This window comes from Homo sapiens, chromosome 12 (genome assembly GCF_000001405.40).
Source record: "Homo sapiens chromosome 12, GRCh38.p14 Primary Assembly".
Taxonomy (NCBI): Eukaryota; Metazoa; Chordata; class Mammalia; order Primates; family Hominidae; genus Homo; species Homo sapiens.
In genome coordinates this window covers 9,471,097-9,490,944 of record NC_000012.12, presented here as the reverse complement: position 1 = coordinate 9,490,944, position 19,848 = coordinate 9,471,097, and the positions used below count along the sequence as shown (strand labels likewise).

Sequence of the window (19,848 nt, the reverse complement as noted above, 5' to 3'; positions counted from 1 at the left end):
CTTTTGATTTTGAGGTTTGGAGAGATGTTCAAAAAATGAGAAAACAATTCTTCAACTATTAGTTATCTTACCTGAAGGGTGATCACTGGATACTGAAATAAAAATAAAAATAATGTTAATATATGAACTCAAGGTTTTTTTTCTAGATGAGTGAAGAGGTTAATTATAAATCTATTATGAAGCAAAGAAACATAAACACATTTAGGACAACCCAAACAAATACTGATTTCTGACTGAAAGTTTGAATATCTATTGATTATATTGAAACTCATCTGCCTAGTTTTCAAGAATTTTCATTTACTTCTCTCTCTTTCACAACATACACCCTGCAGTCTCAGTAAGCAATCCTGCCCTTGGGTCTCTCCAACATAATAAAAATGCCCTCTTAGATGAATAATAACTTCCTTATCAACAAATTCGTGGTCAGTCTTCACTCTGACAGTTGCAATGTTTTACACTGCTGGTTGCCTCTTTTTGAAATGCTTCAATTTTGATTTCTGTATCTAGCACTAATTGTTTTTGTCTTAGATTATTGGCCATTCCTATACTCCACCATTTCCTTATCAGACAAGTAAATAAATGTAGACATTTGCCCAAGTTTCCCTTGCAGAGTTTCCTCTCCTTCTTCCTTCTCCTTCCACCTCTCTGTATCTCCTCTCAGTTCTCTCCATGTTTACCACTCTTGCCCCCTCTAAACCTATAGTCAACAGTTTGACTTTCATCTCTTAGTGTTTTCTCTCAGGACCTTAAAACTAACAAGTTGAAATTAAAGACTCCTAGGCCAGAAGCCCTCATGTGAATAGGCTGATGAGAATTTTAAAAATGAGTACATAGGGTCCTTTGCCCACTCCCCAAGTTGCTAAGTGCTCCTTCCCACTAATTGCAGCATTCATTCACTAATAAAACGTAATGTGTCTGGAGATAGGAACAGGATTCATAAACCTTGTCCAGAATTCTTGGAACTGAGAAATATAACAGTTGAATTAAGGGCCTACTTGTTATTCTAAATTCATGGAATTGAATCTTGATGAAATATTGAGATGGTATTGAAGAAAGCTACTGCTGCAACATTAACTCAAGCATTAAGAGAGGTAGAGCTTCTCATGAGATTTCCTCATAGGAAGAAAATGAATATATTACCCAAAGGTGCCATGGGAAGACGTTAACCATTTGGATGAGATTCTAATAATGAGAAATGAACCTAGAGTACTATCCCTTTTTGTTTGCTATTTGTAATACTTCCAATGCAGATGGCTTCAACTGTGTTCAACAAATTTAGTTTTTATTACTTAATTTGTCCTTTTTTTTAGATTTTTTTTTAACTCAGCTTGGTCTATTTCAAAAAACTAGTGAACAAGAACCTAGTAAAATCACATTTTCATTGTTCTAAGCTGCTTGATTTTTCTCTAAAAACAATTATTAAAATGAGGCTGATTCTGCTCTAGTCACTAATGACTGTCTGCACTAAATCTTGTATAAACCAGCCAAGAACCAATACAACAACTCCTTCATGTCCCCTTCTGGTTCATACTATCTCTCCCTGTCCATACACAGGGCCTCTTTTTAGAGGACTAGTAGTTCCAGGTCTTAAGATAAGTTTAAAGAAAGATCTGAAACTTCTTGATGCAAATGAAACTTTCTGGAAAAAGTATGTTTGAATATTCTACAAAACACTGACTTAAAGGAAAAGAAAGGCACCATCAGCAATGAAATTGCAGAAAATGAAAGAAAAGACCGATGTAGGATTTGGGCAGAAGAAACTAGGTATATGCTCCATATCTTGGCTCATTTGATAATGAGCCCAGTTGCATCATTACTATATTTTTATTATGTAGTCAAATTTATTATGAATACCCAAATCTCATAGGCCAGCCATGCATTGAATCTATTTATTTAAATGGAATACTGAACCGGACAATGTCCAGCAATTAGAAACACTGGCTTGCAAAGATAAAACCACATAATCTCTTAGCTGCCATCATTTTTGGAAATGCTACATCAATTTCCATCTCTATACATAAGCACATGCAGTTTGTTGTGCCATGGAAACTCCTTGCCATAAACATTTGGTACAAACGATCTTCTTATCTATGACCCATATTTGAGGGAACAGTCCATTAATCCTGTTCTTATGCAAATGTAGTTATTACTAAAGCAGGGAGTTGGGTAATCATATTTGGCCTAATTGACAATAATAAGTCAACATTCGGGGGGTGAGAACTAATAAGGGAGTTATGATAATGCTGCAGCTGCTTTGATTTTCAAGAAGCCCTTTACTTCCCCATGGTGCTTCCAATCAAGGATGATTGTCAAAGGATTGCAGTAGAAATTCTCACTGCTTTGGTTAAATAGAGGAGTTGCATTCTTAGAAATAGAAGCTTCAACCATGAACCAAGGAGAACAGGAACCACATGCTATCTTACAGAAGTGATTTCGGATTTAGATTACTACAAGGTCTTTGGAGCACTAAAAATTAGATTCCTGCTCTGGAAATTAAAATTAAGCAACAGTCTAGTGAATGTAGCATAACTATAGAAGATGGGGAAAGGAGGTGGATTAAAAGTGACGATGTCTTAAGGATGAAGTACAGTTTGGAGGGAGGAAAAGGCACTAACAGAGAAACCATCTGCACAGCTTCTGTAAGCTTCAGAAGCTTCTTCGTAACTGCGCTCAGTTGATAGATTGATCTGAGAGACCACAAAAGAATGCTTAGTTCTAACAGGTTTCTAAACTACATGAAATGAAATTTGTCAGGTATCCTGTTGTAAAGACTGAAGTCCAGGTCATGATTCGTTGTCTTTTGACAGTTTTCACTGTTGATCGCCTTGGTTCTCAGATTGTCGCTAGCTTGTAGTCTTCTGCTGAAATACTGTCTTAGACTACCATCACCATGTTCCCACCATGTATTTAGTTCCCTAACTGCACATCAGTATCTATGAAATAACTTCTCTGAATTTCCCATTAGGGAAAGTGAGGCAGTGTCGCTTTCCCTAATGGGTAGCAACACTTCCCCCTTTACCATCCCTGTGTAAATAAAGAACAATATCTGGAAAAATTGGAAGGGGTCCTGGAACACATCCCCAGTCAAGTTATTTCTCTGCTCTACACACAAACTGCTCCTCTATGACTAACTGTAATTCAAGTGCCTTCATAATATGGCACCAAGCCTCCTTTCCAAGTCGTTTTTCAACATGCCTTTTTTTTTCTTTTTTGAGATGGAGTCTCGCTCTGTCACCCAGGCTGGATGGAGTGCAATGGCGCAATCTTGGCTCACTGCAAGCTCCACCTCCCGGGTTCACGCCACTCTCCTGCCTCAGCCTCCCGAATAGCTGTGACTACAGGTGCCCGCCACCATGCCTGGCCAATTTTTTGTGTGTTTAGTAGAGATGGGGTTTCACCGTGTTAGCCAGGATGGTCTCGATCTCCTGACCTCGTGATCCATCCGCCTTGGCCTCCCCAAGTGCTGGGATTACAGGCGTGAGCCACTGCGCCCAGCCCTTCAACGTGACTTTCTATATTTGTTATAAGTTTCAGCAAAGCTGGGTTACGACTATTCCCTAAATCCTCTTGATTCTCTACCCACATGCCTTCACTAACATTTTTTCTCTGCCTACAGTATCTTCTAGGCCTAATTTATACATTTGGTCATCTCTGTTCCCTAAGGAATGTCTCGATTTCACCTACCCCGTGACATCTGTATCAGGCATGGCCAATGCTTCCCCCTTAGATCCCTTTTTCTGGTTCTTTCCAACCACCCCCAGCTCCATTGTGTTTTACTTCTAACAGCTTTCACCTGTGAACTTTTTGAGAGGCCTGTTTTGGAGCCTCCTGGCAAGTTCCTAGGGTTTTACTCCTATGTTGGGTGATGCCCAGAGCCAATAACTGCCTGATGCTGGAGTACAAAAGCCCAGCTTTGGTTCCTACTGTGGAACAAACTGTGAAGTGTAATTTATGCTCCGGAGCTTCCTGCCAGTCAGTCTGAAGACTTTGCCCAAAATCAGTTGATTGCACCCATGCTTGGCCTCCTCCCCTCCCCTGTCCTGCTTCTCTCCACTCTCTTATTGGTTTCCCCCGGCAGCACTTCCTTAATAATTCAGTTGTCCGTTTTTCCCTCTCTCAGAATCTGATTCTGGAGAAGTTGATCTAAGATAATACCTCTCCTGGTAACTCCAGATACAAAGCAGCCATAATGCTTTCATTCACTGGTTATGTAATTCACTCATTCAATCATTATAAAGTATTATTGTGGCTTGGCTCACTGGTTCATGCCTGTAATGTCAGCACTTTAGCAGGCCAAGGCAAGAGAATTGCTTGAGGTCAGGAGTTTGAGAAAAGCCTGGGCAACATAGCAAAACCCCATCTCCACAAAAAATAAAAAAATTAGCTGGGCATGATGGTGCTGCCAGTAGTCCAAGCTACTTGGGGGGCTGGGGCAAGAGGATCGCTTGAGCCCAGAAGTTAAGGCTGGTGAGTTATAATCGCACCACAGCACTCCAGTCTGGGCAACAGAGAAAGACTCCATCACTAAAATACATACATAAATAAAATATTCACTCTACATAACATTACTCATTCACTCAATACATAATTTAATAATGGTATAATATTACTAGCCTACTATCTGCCGTATCCTATTCTTCCAGATGTCAGGAATATAGTCATGCATGTTGCTTCATTTGTGTTCTTCTCCAACAACCTCTGCTCTAATGTAATCATTCTGGGGACAGAAAGAGTTTCTTCTGTATCTTTGGGTCTCGGCTTACCTAGCACAGTGCTTTTATAGGTGGTAAGGATTCAGTAAATTACAGACTTTTATTTGTAATTAGGAAATAGGTTTAATTGTGTTGACCAAAGAGAGAGGGAGAGAGAGAGTGAGGAAGAAGAAAAAAAGAAAAAGTTTGATGGTAAGGGAGGAATACATAGGCTAATAAGAATGTAAAACCAATAACTAAGACTGGCCTGCCTCATTTTCATGGATTAATTTTAAGAAGCAAAACCATGCACAAATACCTACCTATTTCTAGCTATAACTTACCATTTCATCAACTGGTTTCAAATGATCGTCCAGAGACACAACTCAAAACATCACTGAAAAAAGAAAGAACAATGATGTAAAGAAAGTATTTAACTTTTGTGTCCTCACAACTTTCCTCCTACATTGATTAACTTAGGTGAATCAAAAAGCACTAGGTTACTACCACCTGTGATGAGGAGTTACATGCACATCTTATGTAAGACATATTGGATCCTGGGGTTACCAGGTTGAGCTTATTAAGTTATACTGCCAAGAAAGGGTTCAGTACAAGAACTTCTTGTCTTCCTTTTGTACTTCCATCCCTTCTTTCTCTTTCTCCTCGTATGCATTCTCACAACATATGCTCAGGCTGCCTAATGACTTCATTAAAGAAACGAAAGACAGAGGAGGCAGGTCACTTAACTGTTAGTACAATTCCTCACAGAGATTGCATGCATGCTTATTCAGCATGTGCCTTTTCTGTGTATCCTTCATCAACCAATACCCTTATTCCCTTAACCCGCAGCGGAAGCACCTGCAATCAGCTATATTCTCCCACTCTCACATTCTTATCCATCTGTGTCCTATCCCCGAGTTGGTTCTCAGCCTGATGGACCTTGTCAAACTTATATTACTGTCCAGTCAGTAAAATTCATTCTCTTTTGAAGATGTTTCTCTCTGCCCCTATTTCTCTCACAAAACACTTGATTTCTTTTTTGCTCTGAGGTTGCCTCTCTCCCTCTAGGTCTCTATAGTGGAGACCTCTCATCTTCCACATGGCTTGAGAAGGGAAATAAGTAACTTCCTAATTCACAAATCCAACAAAACATTTTTTTTCTTGCATTTTAATTCAAAAGAGAGAAATTATTATTTTAGATGCCACTAGTTTCAGAAAATTTATTCCTGTTGATGTCATCTAATGACTTTCTGGTTGCTGTCACAGAATGTCACCTGGCTAATGGTCTTCCTTTCTACTGCTTAGCCTGTCATGGGAAATTTTGACATGCTTTAAGGGAAATGAAGATTCATGCCAAAATTGGTATTGGTCATCATATCAGAGCTATTGTATTTTGGAAAAAATGTCAATTGCTGATGACAAGAGTCTATGTTGTCATCTGTCTATACTTTCTGTCCCTTTGTGTTTTCAGGTTCATTTAGAGTTCAACTTTGTTAATCTCATTCTTCCAGATTATTGACCCTCTCCTGGCTTCAATTCATTTATTCACACATTAATTTTAAAAGCCTTTATTGATAACCTATTTCATAATTCTATTCATATGTATGTGCGAGTATGAGTGTCAAATGCTGAAAATTTTTTTTTAGAAAAAAGACTTGCTGTTTGGCTATCACAGGATTCATAAGATTGGCTGAGAAATGCTGATCCCATCATATCCCATCATGGTTTAAATGTGGTCTCTACATTGATGGTTCCTCAAATTCATATCTTCAGCCCTTTCTTTTTTTCTGTTTTCTTTTCTCTTTTCTTTTTTGAGACAGGGTCTCACTCTCATCACTCAGGTTGAAGTGCAGTGGCACAATCTTGGCTCACTGCAGCCTCAACTTTCCAAGCTCAGGTGATCCTCCCACCTCAGCCTTCCAAGTAGCTAGGACTACTTGCCCCACCACACCTGGCTAACTTTTTTGTATTTTTAGTAGAGATGGGTTTTCGCCATGTTGCCCAGGCTTATCTTGAACTCCTGGGCTCAAGTAATCTGCCTGCCTTGGCTTCCCAAAGTGCTGGGACTACAGGCGTGAGCAACTGCGCCTGGCCCTGCCCTTTCTTCTTACCTAAAGTTTCATAAATATACTGCTTCCTACTTGACATGTCTGCCTGAATATTTGAAAGATATCTCATCCTTAGTGTGCCCAAAAATGTAATCCTGATTTATTTCCTCTTGCCCTACACTTCCTTATTTTAGTAAATGACAATTCTGTCCAAGTGTTTAGGCTAGAAATTTCAGACTCATTCTTATTCCCTCATTCTTGTCATCCCCTCATTGTCGTTCCCTCTTTATATTACACTCTACATCAAAACATACCTTAAAGATATTATCTGCTATTTCTCTTGCCCAGAATGATTTTTCCCACCCATGGTAGACGTCCTCACTTCATTCAGGTCTCCGCTTAATTATCTTAAAACATTTTGCCCTCTAGTTCTAATCTGTTCACCTACTTTGTTAGCTCTGTCATTTAAAAATTGAATTCTGGCTAGGCGCAGTGGCTCATGCCTGTAATCCCAGCACTTTGGGAGGCTGAGGCGGGCAGATCACAAGGTCAGAAGTTCGAGACCAGCCTGGCCAATATGGTGAAACCCCATCTCTACTAACAAAATACAAAAAAATTAGATGGGCGTGGTGGTGCACACCTGTGATTCCAGCTACTCAGGAGGCTGAGGCAGGAGAATTGCTTGAACCCGGGAGGTGGAGGTTGCTGTGAGCCGAGATTGCCCCACTGCACTCCAGCCTGGGCGACAGAGTGAGACTCCGTTTCAAAAAAAAAAAAAAAAGATTTCTCTTTAACTCCAAAACTGTCCCTGTCTTTGTTCAAGATGTAATCATCTTTTATTTGGACTCTCACAACAGTCACTAACTGGATCACTGCCATTTGTGTTGCCATAACCTAGCTAATCTTTCTATGGTTATCAGAGCTACTTTCTGAAGACTAAATCTTATCTTGAATCTTCTCTGATGAAAACCTCACATTGCACAAAAGTCAGTGTCTTCATAACTTAATGTGTAGCAAGTCACACATTACTTTTTGTGAAGTTCTGACCTGGCCTTCTACCACAGCCTCCTTTCCAGCCATTCCCATCAAGCCCCCTAACCTGAAGCTATACAGTATCCCTTACCCGCAGTAATTTCATCATGAGTACTGACTTTACTTCTGTCATGGTTATTTCTATAATAGCCCTTTCTTTCTCACATAGAGGGGCTGCTTTCCCTTCTACTCTGACATTGGAAGCTTGAATAGCCCAATAGCTTGAATAGCTTAATTCTCCCAAACATAACTAGAATCTGTTTTGCTGAAGACTTTGTATATCAGTCAAGTACCTCATCCCTTCTTTCTCTAAATGCATTCATAAATATCATCTTTGATATACTTATTTTTTAATAACTGAAGAATTAGTCACTTTCTATTTTATCTGTTTACTATGCTTTTTCATATTTTGTTCATGCCACTATATAGTAGTTAATATACTGCATTATAAATATGAAGCAACAATAAACTGTGCAATGAGGTTTTAGCAATCATAGTTAATATCACACCATATTTTTATTCAAAAAGAAGCATGATGCTGAGTAGATTATGAATATTTGTAGCATTATAATCTCAGATTGTAATGATCAATTTTTTGAAAACTGAATATCTCTCAATTGCGTAAGACTCCTGGCTCAATTTCTTTGCTATGTTATAACCTTTCCTCTGTGCATTAGACTCTTTACTAGACTGTGGATGGATAAGAAATTTTAAAAAAGCAATTTTAAATTAAGGTTTAATGTTTCTGTGCTCTTTGAAGTAGCAGCCACCTTCCCCACCTCTGCCTTCTATAGCTCTCCTTAGCAAGAATCCTAGAAGCCTTCCTTGGACATCCTCTTGTGTCAAGCACATATACTCTTCCCCCTCATAAGCACCTCCCACGCCAGCATGCATGCTCTCGTAATGTTTGTTCCGCCGTTGTTGGTGCCAGCTCAAACTGTACAGCCATGCCCTGTCTTTCTTGTCTAGTCCTTCAGTCTTTCTCTGGTCCCTAAATACTGACCTGAATGCCCTCTTTTGTGAAGTGAGGGAGGGAGGCAAAGGGTCAGGGGAAGAGGAGTGGAAGGGTGGGGATAGCACAATGCATGCAGTGCATTCCTCCATCTCCAGCACACATCCCTCACCTCCCTCTGCTTGTGTTGTTCTGGGATCACAGTGTGTTGGTGCCTAAGCAGGCTCTGATTACTGTGATTCCCAGTTCATCCACGACTGCCTCCTCAAGCCATGATCCCCACATCTGTAGTGACTCCTCATGGGTGTTACTTAACTACATGAAAATGCCTCTTTAGTTCTATATTCAGGGATTTCCTTTAACTCTTCTCAATGCAGCTTCTTTTCCTTCCTTTTTTTTTCTTTTATTATATCACATTTTATTTTATTTTTAATTATTATACTTTAAGTTCTAGGGTACTTGTGCACAACGTGCAGGTTTGTTACATATGTATACATGTGCTATGTTGCTGTGCTGCACCCATTAACTCGTCATTTACATTAGGTATTTCTCCTAGTGCTATCCCTCCCCCTCTCCCCACTGCATGACAGGCCTTGTTGTGTGATGTTCCCCACCCTGTGTCCAAGTGTTCTCATTGTTCAATTCCCACCTATAAGTGAGAACATGTGGTGTTTGGTTTTCTGTCCTCACGATAGTTTTCTCAGAATGACGGTTTCCAGCTTCATCCATGTCCCTGCAAAGGACATGCACTCATCCTTTTTTATGGCTGCATAGTATTCCATGGTGTATATGTGCCACATTTTCTTCATTCAGTCTATTATTGATGGACATTTGGGTTTCTTTACTCTAAATAAGTCTATCTACTTCTCATTTTACGGCATGGTTTTTAAATTAATTCTACCTCAGTGCTTTTTTATGTACCATTCATCTCATCAGAAATGTCTTTCTTCTGACTGCTGTAATCTGTATTCATCAACTCCTTCTGTACCCAGGAGGAGAGAGGAGGCTTTTCAGCTTAATTCAACATCATGCTGATCATTCTATTACTTGGGCAATTCTCTAGTCACTAGGCGTATCTCATTACATGTTCATGACATACTTTGTTGCTGTTTTATTTCTATTTCAACCATAAGCTTGTAAGTTTGCATAAATTAAATTCAAAATCCCCAAATATGTGATTAGAATGTTATTAGAATAATATGGATATTATTAGAATATTATTAGAATAATATGGATCTTATTAGAATATTATTAGAATAATATGGATATTATTAGAATAGAATAAGGTGCTCTTTAAAAATGCACTTTCTGAGGCTCCCTCCCCCAGACTCATGGAAATGAAATCTCTAACATTTAGGCTATGTAATCTATATTTTTATTTTGTATTTTTAAGCAGGTTCTCTAATAAAATTTAATACAATAAAATTTCTGAGCTTGTATTGTGTACCATCAATTCAAATATCATATAAGTGACATTAGTTGAGGGTAACCTGATTTAGGTACACTCACCTTTCTGTCCAGGCTTGTAGGTGGGTTTATCAGTCTGTACGAAGACCACATTCTCTCTGGATCTGATTGCCACAGATCTCCTCTCTTCCAGGTTGAGAGTGGCTCCTTTAGCAGAAAATGTAATAAATGCCAGTGGGTCAGATCTGGCCTGAGGAACCTAGGGAACAAATAAATACTCCATGAAACTGATTTTTTGTTAAGAAATCTCTATCACTGTGTGTTGGTATCACTACAAGTTTTAATTCATAATTTGTCATATCTATTTCTTCAGTAACCAACCTTGTTTATTTCTCTTGCTTTGTCACTTCCTTATCTCACCATTTAAATGGATTCTTTTGCCTTTCTTAAAACTTCCCTTTTCTGCACAAGAGTCATTCTTTCTCTATGTCTTATTCCCTTCAACAGTTTTCTATCATAAAATCAAATATTTTGGCTCTTGCCCTTGTTACCATTTATGACTGTACTTAACATCATCTCATACTGAGGACTGTATAAAATACAGTTTGTATAAAATAACTTTATACAAACAGTCAAATAGCCTGATCTCTGTCCCTAAAAAGTCAGTTATGTGGGTGGTGTTCACGCACCTGTAATATTCTTTTCTACATTAAGCAGGAAGAAGATCTCTGTTCCATTTTTGGAATTTATTTGGATTTATTCTCTATGTTTCTTAATTTCTCTTTCATATTTCCCATTTCTTTGTCTACTTTGGAAGAATTTCTGGGTTGATTCACTTTTAACGAATTCACCCTTCAGTTGTGGTTATTCTGCTATTCAACCCACCTATTGAATTTTCATTTAACTTTTTGTTTTTCTAATGCAGAAGGTACTCTATATTTTTCTCTTCTGGATGATGTTGTGGTATCTTGATAGTTATTTCATTATTCTGTGGCGATATTGCCTGACCAGTGCCTGTATTGATTTACTTATTGATTTATATATAACTTCAAATTTTGAATTTCTAAGCACTTTAGGAACTGAACTCAATATCTTTTAAGAAAAAATTTCTGGGGATTCAATAGTACTTTCTCTAAAGTTTTGTTCAGATTTTATTATTAACTCCATCCTTGGATGTTGGGTTTTCTTTTGGTTTTGCTTGTTTGAAACAGGGTCTGGATCTGTCACCCAGGCTGGACTGCAGTGGCAGGATCATGACTCACGGTGGCCTTAACCTCCCAGGCTCGTGATCCTCCCACCTCAGCCTCCCAGCTGGTACTACAGGCACATGTCACCATGCCTGGCTAATTTTGCATTTTTTGGTAGAGATGGGGATCACCATGTTGCCCAGTCTGGTCTTGAACTCCTGGGCTCAAGCAATCCTGTGCCTCTGCCTCCAAAAGTGCTGGGATAATAGGTGTGAGCCACTGTGCCCGGCTGGATGCTGGGTGTTTTGTTTCTTGAATGTTTCCTTTCATCTGTAGTGCTGGCTTTCCTAAATGTGTATCGATCCTTGGTAGTGACTTCCGGCATTTTTATACTAGAATTTCTTGGCTGGCCCTCTGTGAAAGCAACACCCGTGACTGCAGATGAATCTTTAGGATTCACAGTCAAATGGGTGAACATCCACCAGATCCATGATGAGGATATGCAGCTGATATGGGATGGTGAGTCTGGGCCTTGCACCTGGGTTCTGGGTGACACTAGTGGGTGGGGTGAGAGAGAATGGGGGATGAAGACATTTCTTAACAACATGGTTCATCATTTTATTTTTACCATTATCAATGTCATATAGAAAAGTAGAAAATGGAGAAAAGTAGTTGGAACGAATAAATTATACATTGTCCCATTAGTGAGATAAAAAGACTGCTAATATTTTGGGGATCTCTCCTTCCAGTCCATGAACATTTATAATGTGCTATAGGTGCTTACAGTGCAATGGTGTTCAAGACAGACACATCCCTGCTCTTCATAAACTTGCAGTTTTTTGTTTTTTATTGCACTGAACTCTTCTAACATTAATTTATATTTACAGAAGAAAATGCACAAATACAGTGTCTTTACAAAAAAGTAGAAATGTGACCAACAAGGGTAAAGTTGCACTCACCCCACTCCACCTCGCTCCTCTGCCCTCCTCCCCTGCCTGTTTGCTGTAGAGTCCTGTGTTCTTTGTCTTTATATACATTCTATAAATACACATACACACATATAATTTTTATTTATTATTAGTATTTCAATAGTTTTGGGGGAACAGGCTGTTTGGTTAGATGGATACATTCTTTAGTGGTGATTTCTGAGATTTTGGTGCACTCATCACCCAAGCAGTGTACACTGCATTGAATGTATAGTCTTTTATCCCTCACCACCCTCCCACCCCTTCCCAAGTCTCCAGAGTTCAGTGTATCTTTCTTATGCCTTTGCATCCTCATAGCTTAGCTCCCACTTATAAGTGAGAACATATGATGTTTGGTTTTCCATTCCTGAGTTACTTCACTTAGAATAATGGTCTCCAACTGCATCCAGGTTGCTGCAAATGCCATTATTTTGTTACTTTTTTATGACTGAGTAGTATTTTATGTTGGCTGTGTGTGTATATATATATACACCACAATTCCTTTACTCACTCGTTGGTTGATGGACATTTAGGCTGGTTCCATATTTTTGCAATTGTGAATTGTGAGGCTACAAACACATGTGTGCAAGTGTCTTTTTCATATAATGACTTCTTTTGGGAAGGCAGATACCCAGTAGTGGGATTGCTGGGTCAAATGGTAATTCTACTTTTAGTTCTTTAAGGAACCTCCATAAGGTTTTCCAGCATGGTTGTACTAGTTTACATTTCCACCGGCAGTGTAAAAGTGTTTCCTTTTCACCACATCCACACCAACATCTATTGTTTTTTGATTTTTAAATTTTGGACATTCTTGCAGAAGTAAGGTGGTATCTGTGGTTTTGATTTGCATTTCCCTGATAGTGATATTGAGCATTTTCTCACATGTTTGATGGCCATTTGTATATCTTCTTTTAAGAATTGTCTATTCATGTCCTTAACCCTCTTTTTGATGGAATTGTTTTTTTCTTGCTGGTTTGAGTTCCTGGTAGATTCTACATATTAGTCCTTTGTTGGATGCGTAGTTTGCAAATATTTTCTTCCACTCTGTGGGTTGTTTACTCTGCTGATTATTTCTTTTTCTGTGCAGAAGCTTTTTTAGTTTAATTAAGTCTCATCTATTTATATTTGTTTTTGTTGTATTTGCTTTTAAGTTTTCGGTGATGAACCCTTTGCCTAGGCCAATGTCTGGAAGAATTTTTCTGTTAGCTTCTAGAATTTTTATGGTTTCAGGTCTTAGATATAAGTCTTTGATCCATCTTGAGTTGATTTTTGTGTAAGGTGAGAGATGAGGATCCAGTTTCATTCTTCTACATGTGGCTTGCCAATTATCTCAGCACCATTTATTGGTTAGGGTGTCCTTTCCCCACTTTATGTTGTTGTTTGCTTTGTTGAAGATCAGTTGGCTGTATTTGGCTTTATTTCTGGGTTTTATTCTGTTCCATTGGTCTATGCACCTGTTTTTATACTAGTATCATGCTTTTTTGGTAACTATAGCCTTATAGTATAGTTTGATGTTGGGTAATGTGATATTTCCAGATTTGTTGTTTTTGTTTAGTCTTGCTTTGACTATGCAGGCTCTTTTTTTGTTCCATGTGAACTTTAGGATTCTTTTCTCTAGTTCTGTGAAGAATGATGCTGGTATTTGGATGGAGAAAATAATTTGGATGGAGCATTGAATTTATAGATTGCTTTTGGAAGTATGGTCATTTTCACAATATTTATTCTACCTATGCATGAGCATGGGATGCGTTTCCATTTGTTTGTGTCATCTATGATTTTTTTCAGGGGTGTTTTGTAGTTTGCATTGCAGAGATCTTTCACCTCTTTGATTAGGTATATTCCTAAGTTGTTTTTTTTTAAGCTGCTGTAAAAGGGGTTGAGTTCTTGATTTGATTCTCAGCTTAGTCACTGTTGGTGTATAGCAGTGCTACTGATTTGTGTACATTGATCTTGTATTCTGAAACTTTACTGAATTCATTTATCAGATATAGGAGCTTTTTGGATGAGTCTTTAGCGTTTTCTAGGTATACGATCATATCATCAGCAAACAGCAACAGTTTGACTTCCTCTTTACCAATTGGGATGCCCTTTATTTCATTCTCTTGTCTCATTGCTCTGGCTAGGACTTCCAGTACTACGCTGAATAGAAGTGGTAAAAGTGGGCATCCTTATGTTGCTCCAGTTCTCAAAGGAAATGCTTTCCACTTTTCCCTGTTCAGTATAATGTTGGCTATGGGTCTGTCATAGATGGTTTCTATTACCTTAAGATTTGTGTCTTCCATGCTAATTTTGCTGAGGGTCTTAATAATAAAGAAATGCTGGATTTTTACCAAATGCTTTTTCTGTGTCTATTGAGATGATCACATGATTTTTGCTTTTACTTCTGTTTATGTGGTGTATCACATTTATTAACTCATATATTTTTCGGGGGTGGGGGACAGAGTCTTGCTCTGTCACCCAGTCTGGAGTATAATGGCATGATCTTGGCTCATTGCAACCTCCACCTCCCGGGTTCAAAGGATATTCATACCTCAGCCTCACAAGTAGCAGGGATTGCAGGTGTGTGTCACCATGCCCAACTAATTTATTTGTATTTTTTAGTAGAGTCAGGGTTTTGCCATGTTGGCCAGGCTGGTCTCAAACTCCTGGCCTTAAGTGATCCAACCGCCATGGCTTCCCAATGTGCTAGATTACAGGTGTGAGCCACTGTGCCCGGCCTGACTTGTGTATGTTAAACCAACCCTGAATCCCTGGTATGGAGCCCACTTGATCATGGTGTATTATCTTTTTGATATGCTGTTGAATTTGGTTAGCTAGTATTTTGTTGAGGATTTTTGCATTGATGTTCATAAGAGATATTTATAAATATGTGTATGAAAAGTTTCAGACACTTGTTTGTTTCCCACTGAAATGTTGGTTCCAACAGATCTACTGCATTCCCAGTAGTGTTCCGTGGTATTGATATTCTAGAGTTTAGAAATCATTTCCCATGTAGATGAACACTGAAGTTGTTCCCAGGATGTTACTATTCAAGCAATACTAGCATGAACTTTTTTTTATTGTTATATTAAATTCTGGGGCGCATGTGCAGGATGTGTAGGTTTGTTAAATAGGTAAATGTGTGCCATGGTGGTTTGCTGCACCTATCAACCCATCATCTAGGTATTAAGCCCAGCATGCATTAGTTATTTTTCCTGATGCTGTTCCTCCCACTGTCCCCAGAACGTTTTTAAATATGCCTCCTTATACACAATTGTGAAGGGTTCTCCGGGCTAGGTACCAAAAAGTAGACTTTTATCATGCATTCTAAACTTAACAGTGTGAAGTAAAACTACATTATAACCTTCTGTCCTGTCTTGACATTCATTCCAATCACTGTCCTTCCCAATTACAGGCTTTTGATGGCCATTATTTTAGTTCTATCTAGCCCAGAAATTACAGACTGTATTAGTTCGTTCTCACACGGCTATGAAGAGACTGGGTAATTTATTCAGGAAAGAGGTTTAATTGACTCACAGTTCTGCATGGCTGGGGAGGCAGGAAACTTACAATCATGATGGAAGGTGAAGAGGAAGCAAGGCGCCTTCTTCGCAAGGCAGCAGGTGGAAGAATTGCTAGCAAGAGCAGGGAAATCTCCCTTATAAAACCATGAGACCTCGTGAGAACTCACTATCATGAGGACGGCATGGAGGAAACCGCCCCCATGATCCAATTACCTCCACCTGATCTCTCCCTTGACACCTGGCATTAGGGGGATTACAATTCAAGATGAGATTTTGGGTGGGGACACAGCCAAACCATTATCAGAGGCTATGACTGCTATCATTTTATACAAACTGTTTAGACTTACATACATTCTTACATTTCTTTTTGCATGTCTGACCTTCCTTTGGGGCCCATCCACTTCTCTTCATTGCAGAGTCAGCTTTTAAAAGTTTCTTTAGTGCTCTTAAGTGAGCTCCCTTAGTTTTTGTTTGAAATGTTATTTACTGTCATTCTTGAAAGACCACTGTACTGGTGACTCAATTCTAGAGTGACAATTGTTTTCCCTTGGCACTTTGAAGATATTATATAGCATAGTTTTCTGGCTTTCTTTGTCGGTGTGAAGAAGCCTGGGGTCATTCTAATTTTTGTTCCTTTGTAGGTGATCTTTTTTCTCTAGGTGGTTTAAGATTTTCCTTTTTTTTCATTTATTTATTCCCTTTTATTTTAAGTTCATTGGTACATGTGCAAGCTTGTTATCTAGGTAAACATGTGTCATGGGGGTTGGTTGTACAGATTATTTCATCACCCAAGTACTAAGCCTATTACTCAATAGTTATTCTTCCTGGTCCTCTTTCTCCTTCCACCCTCCACCACTTGATAGGCCCCAGTGTGTGTTGTTCCCCTCTATGCGTCCATGTGTTCTCATCATTTAGCTCCCACTTATAAGTGAGATCAAGCAGTATTTGGTTTTCTGTTCCTGTGTTAGTTTGCTAAATATAATTGACACTAGCTCCATCCATGTCCCTGAAAAATACATGATCTTGTTTTTTTTTTATGGCTGCAAAGATTTTCAGTTGTGTTTTCAGTGCTCTACAAAAGTATAGAGAATGGTATCACAAACTCCCATGTGCCCATTCCCCAGCCACAGCAACTCATGCCACCCGTGTTTTTCTGTCTCCTTACTTACACTGTCTCCCTGTCAGGATTATTGTGAATCAGATCCCAGACTTCTTGTTGTTTCATCTATAACTATTTTGGTGCATATTTCTAAAATCATATTCTTTTAAAATTGAAACATTTTTAAAAATTGTAGTGGACAAATTATTGAGTAAAGTGCAAGCTAGGCATAAATTTCTAAGATAAAAGAGATCCCAAGATTGTGTAGAATAGAGAGGCCCTGAGCAATTCATCCAGACACCAGAGATTGCCAGCTCACTCTCATTTACCCATCCTGACATCCAACCCTACCCATTTCAGAGGCTAAGCCATTTGTCTGAGGTCACATAGAGAATGACTGGGAGAATCAGTAGAATTCCAACTCAGGGCTCTTCCTACAGCCCATGTTCCCTACATTGTTCTTGAATCTTCCCAAAGTCCTGAGAAAGAAAAGAGGTAGGGAGTGGGAGTTGTGGCTATGGAGAAAGAGGAGTTGATATTTCCAATGTATATCAGAAGCAAACTTGAACTCACCTTTCACAGCCTTCCTTAGCACCAACAGCCAAACACAAATACCTGTGTTTTATATAGAATGCACTTCTGCCAACTCCCACTCTTGCTGTTTACACAAATTTGTTTCTTAATTATTGAAAACCTCCTGTGTGCCAGGTGATTCTCTAAGCCCTGGGGATGCTGCACTGAATTAAGCTGATGTCCCTGGCTTCATGCAACTTACATTCTAGCCAAGGAGAGGAAGCAAGCCCTCAACAAGGGCGTACATGTCAGGGAAGCACCATGGAGAAGATAAAGCAAGGGGAGGGGCTGAGCAGTGTGGGAGGGGCTGAGCAGTGTATGAGGGTGAGGTGACAGAGATGTCCTCTCCAATAAGGAGGCATTTCACCAGAGACCCATGTTAAACTAAAGGATGCAAGGTGGTCAGAATTTACCTTAAACAGAGTTGATTTAAGCACAAACGTTGAGGACAGGCCTGTGTGGGAAGCCCAGATTCCACAGAATGGAAGTCTGTATTCCAAAGTGAAGTTTGGGATCCTTTATACAGAGGAAGCTTGGGAAAGCCTAGCAGAATTTCAACATCTTTCTATGTAAGGTTTAATGCATCATTTAAATGATCTAATTAGTCCAGGTGGTCTTTTTCTTTGTGGAAAGGTAGATTAAACATTCCTCACTGAAGATTTAACAGTCTAGGCATCTCGGGTGTCATCTGGTCTTAGCAAGGTACACGACAATAAAGGAGTCAGTTAAACTATAACAAAGATCTGGGTTCCATAGTGGGCAAGGCCTGGTTTCTGGTCTCTCCTACTCATTCACAGAAGAAGAACAATGGGAAAGAGAGTTCTCCTTTAATCTAAGAAGCAGAATTGGAAACCGGTGGTGCAACTCAGTCTTGGGTCTTAATATCCTTCTGGGTGTAATAAACTTGGAGGGTGCTGAAACAGTATTTTCTTTGACACCTTGAAGGAAGGGAGAAAGGGAGCTCTATGGCTCTCTAAGGGAAGAGTCCTTGGCATGTTCAAGGATCAAGAAGCCAGTATGATGATCATGGAGGGAGCAGAAGGAAGAGCAGAAGATGAGATGAGAGAAGAGTAGTGGGGCCAGAATCCTCTTGGGTCTTCTATGCACAGTCAAGATTGAGGGTTTTACTTTGAGTGGGATGGGAGCTCACTGAAGCACAGTTTTTAACTTCTCTAAGCAGGAAGAGAGGGGTGAACAGTGCTTGTGATAGGGTGTGAGGATAGTCAGTCCATTCTAGGAGCAAGCAGAAATGGGTTATAAATTATTTGTTCCTGTTTTCCATGTAACAATTTCCTTCCTTTGATGTGGAGACAAAACAGAAAGAATGTTTGCTTTGGTAGATCATCTTCAGAGTCCCTCTGTGCTTAAGGAGGTGTATGCACATTGGAATGTCCTGACATGAGTGTCCAGGGTGCTGTTGTTGCCTTTTTTGTTGCAAACTCTTGTCCTTGAGGTGTTTGCCTTCTGATTTGAACCTAATCAGGGTATTGAATACTGTGGCTGCTAAGAGATCATATTTTGCATAAGCTGCTTTTGAGAGAATGGTGAATGATTGACTCCTCAGAGAAAATGCCTAGCAGACCTCTGCAGATGGAGAATTCCTTATTTCCCGTATGTGTCATTCCCAGTTCTTTGTCTAGAGAGTCAAGTATTGAACTAAACGATATTTCAGGGTCTTCTCTCTCCTCCAAGTCAGTGGTGAAATGGAAAAGCAGGGGCTCCAGAACCAGCCTGATCAGTTTCCATACCAGCTCTATGAGTCAGGACCCTGCAGACTTGGGCACGTGACTTCATCTCTAGGCCTTTCTTCATCCGTGTCATGAGGGTAACAGCGCTGATCTTGAACACCATTGTCATTATTGAATAAAAATGCACAAAATGTGCTGAGCTTTGCTGGGCACATAGATGTCCCACAAGACAATTTCATTGCCTTGATTCGGGTGTCTAGGTGCGGGCGGGGGATGATATGGAGGGTGGCAGGTAGGGAGCGTCCTTATAGCTGTAGTCAGGGAAAACTGAAATAGTCAGTTGCTTCTCCGAGAGCAGCCGTGCCACCTCTGAAGCACCAGTAACTGGCAGGGCTGTCTGTCCCCTTTGGGCTGCAACCTGGCTTCAATTCCAACCCTGACATTGTGTGCTTCTGAAGCCTTCTCCTCTTGTTTTGACACCTGAAGTCCCCCTGTATATCCTAGACTTCTCAGTCTACCAGAGCATTCACCTTACTTTCTTCATCCCACCCTGCCTTTGATAATGATGCCTAAGTCCCCGAGACAGGAGGAAGTCTTCCCCAGAAAGGTACTATAGCAGCACTTATACCCATGTTTAATGTCCCAGAAACCTTGTGTTCAAGTAATGCTTTCTCAAGGGTCTTATGTCTTTTCTGTTAGAGCT

General features: G+C 39.6%; 1 pseudogene across 1 annotated transcript in view; it reads right to left on the bottom strand.

The window, feature by feature from the left end:
• The window catches only part of OVOS1P (ovostatin 1, pseudogene), a 127,984-nt pseudogene that overhangs the window by 85,326 nt on the left and 22,810 nt on the right, over positions 1-19,848 (bottom strand). Inside the window, exons 3-5 of the transcript NR_153413.2 lie at positions 10,233-10,389; positions 5,036-5,088; positions 72-92 (exon numbers count right to left, since the gene is read on the bottom strand). The product of NR_153413.2 is annotated as an ovostatin 1, pseudogene (transcript). The remainder of the gene's footprint in view (positions 1-71; positions 93-5,035; positions 5,089-10,232; positions 10,390-19,848) is intronic.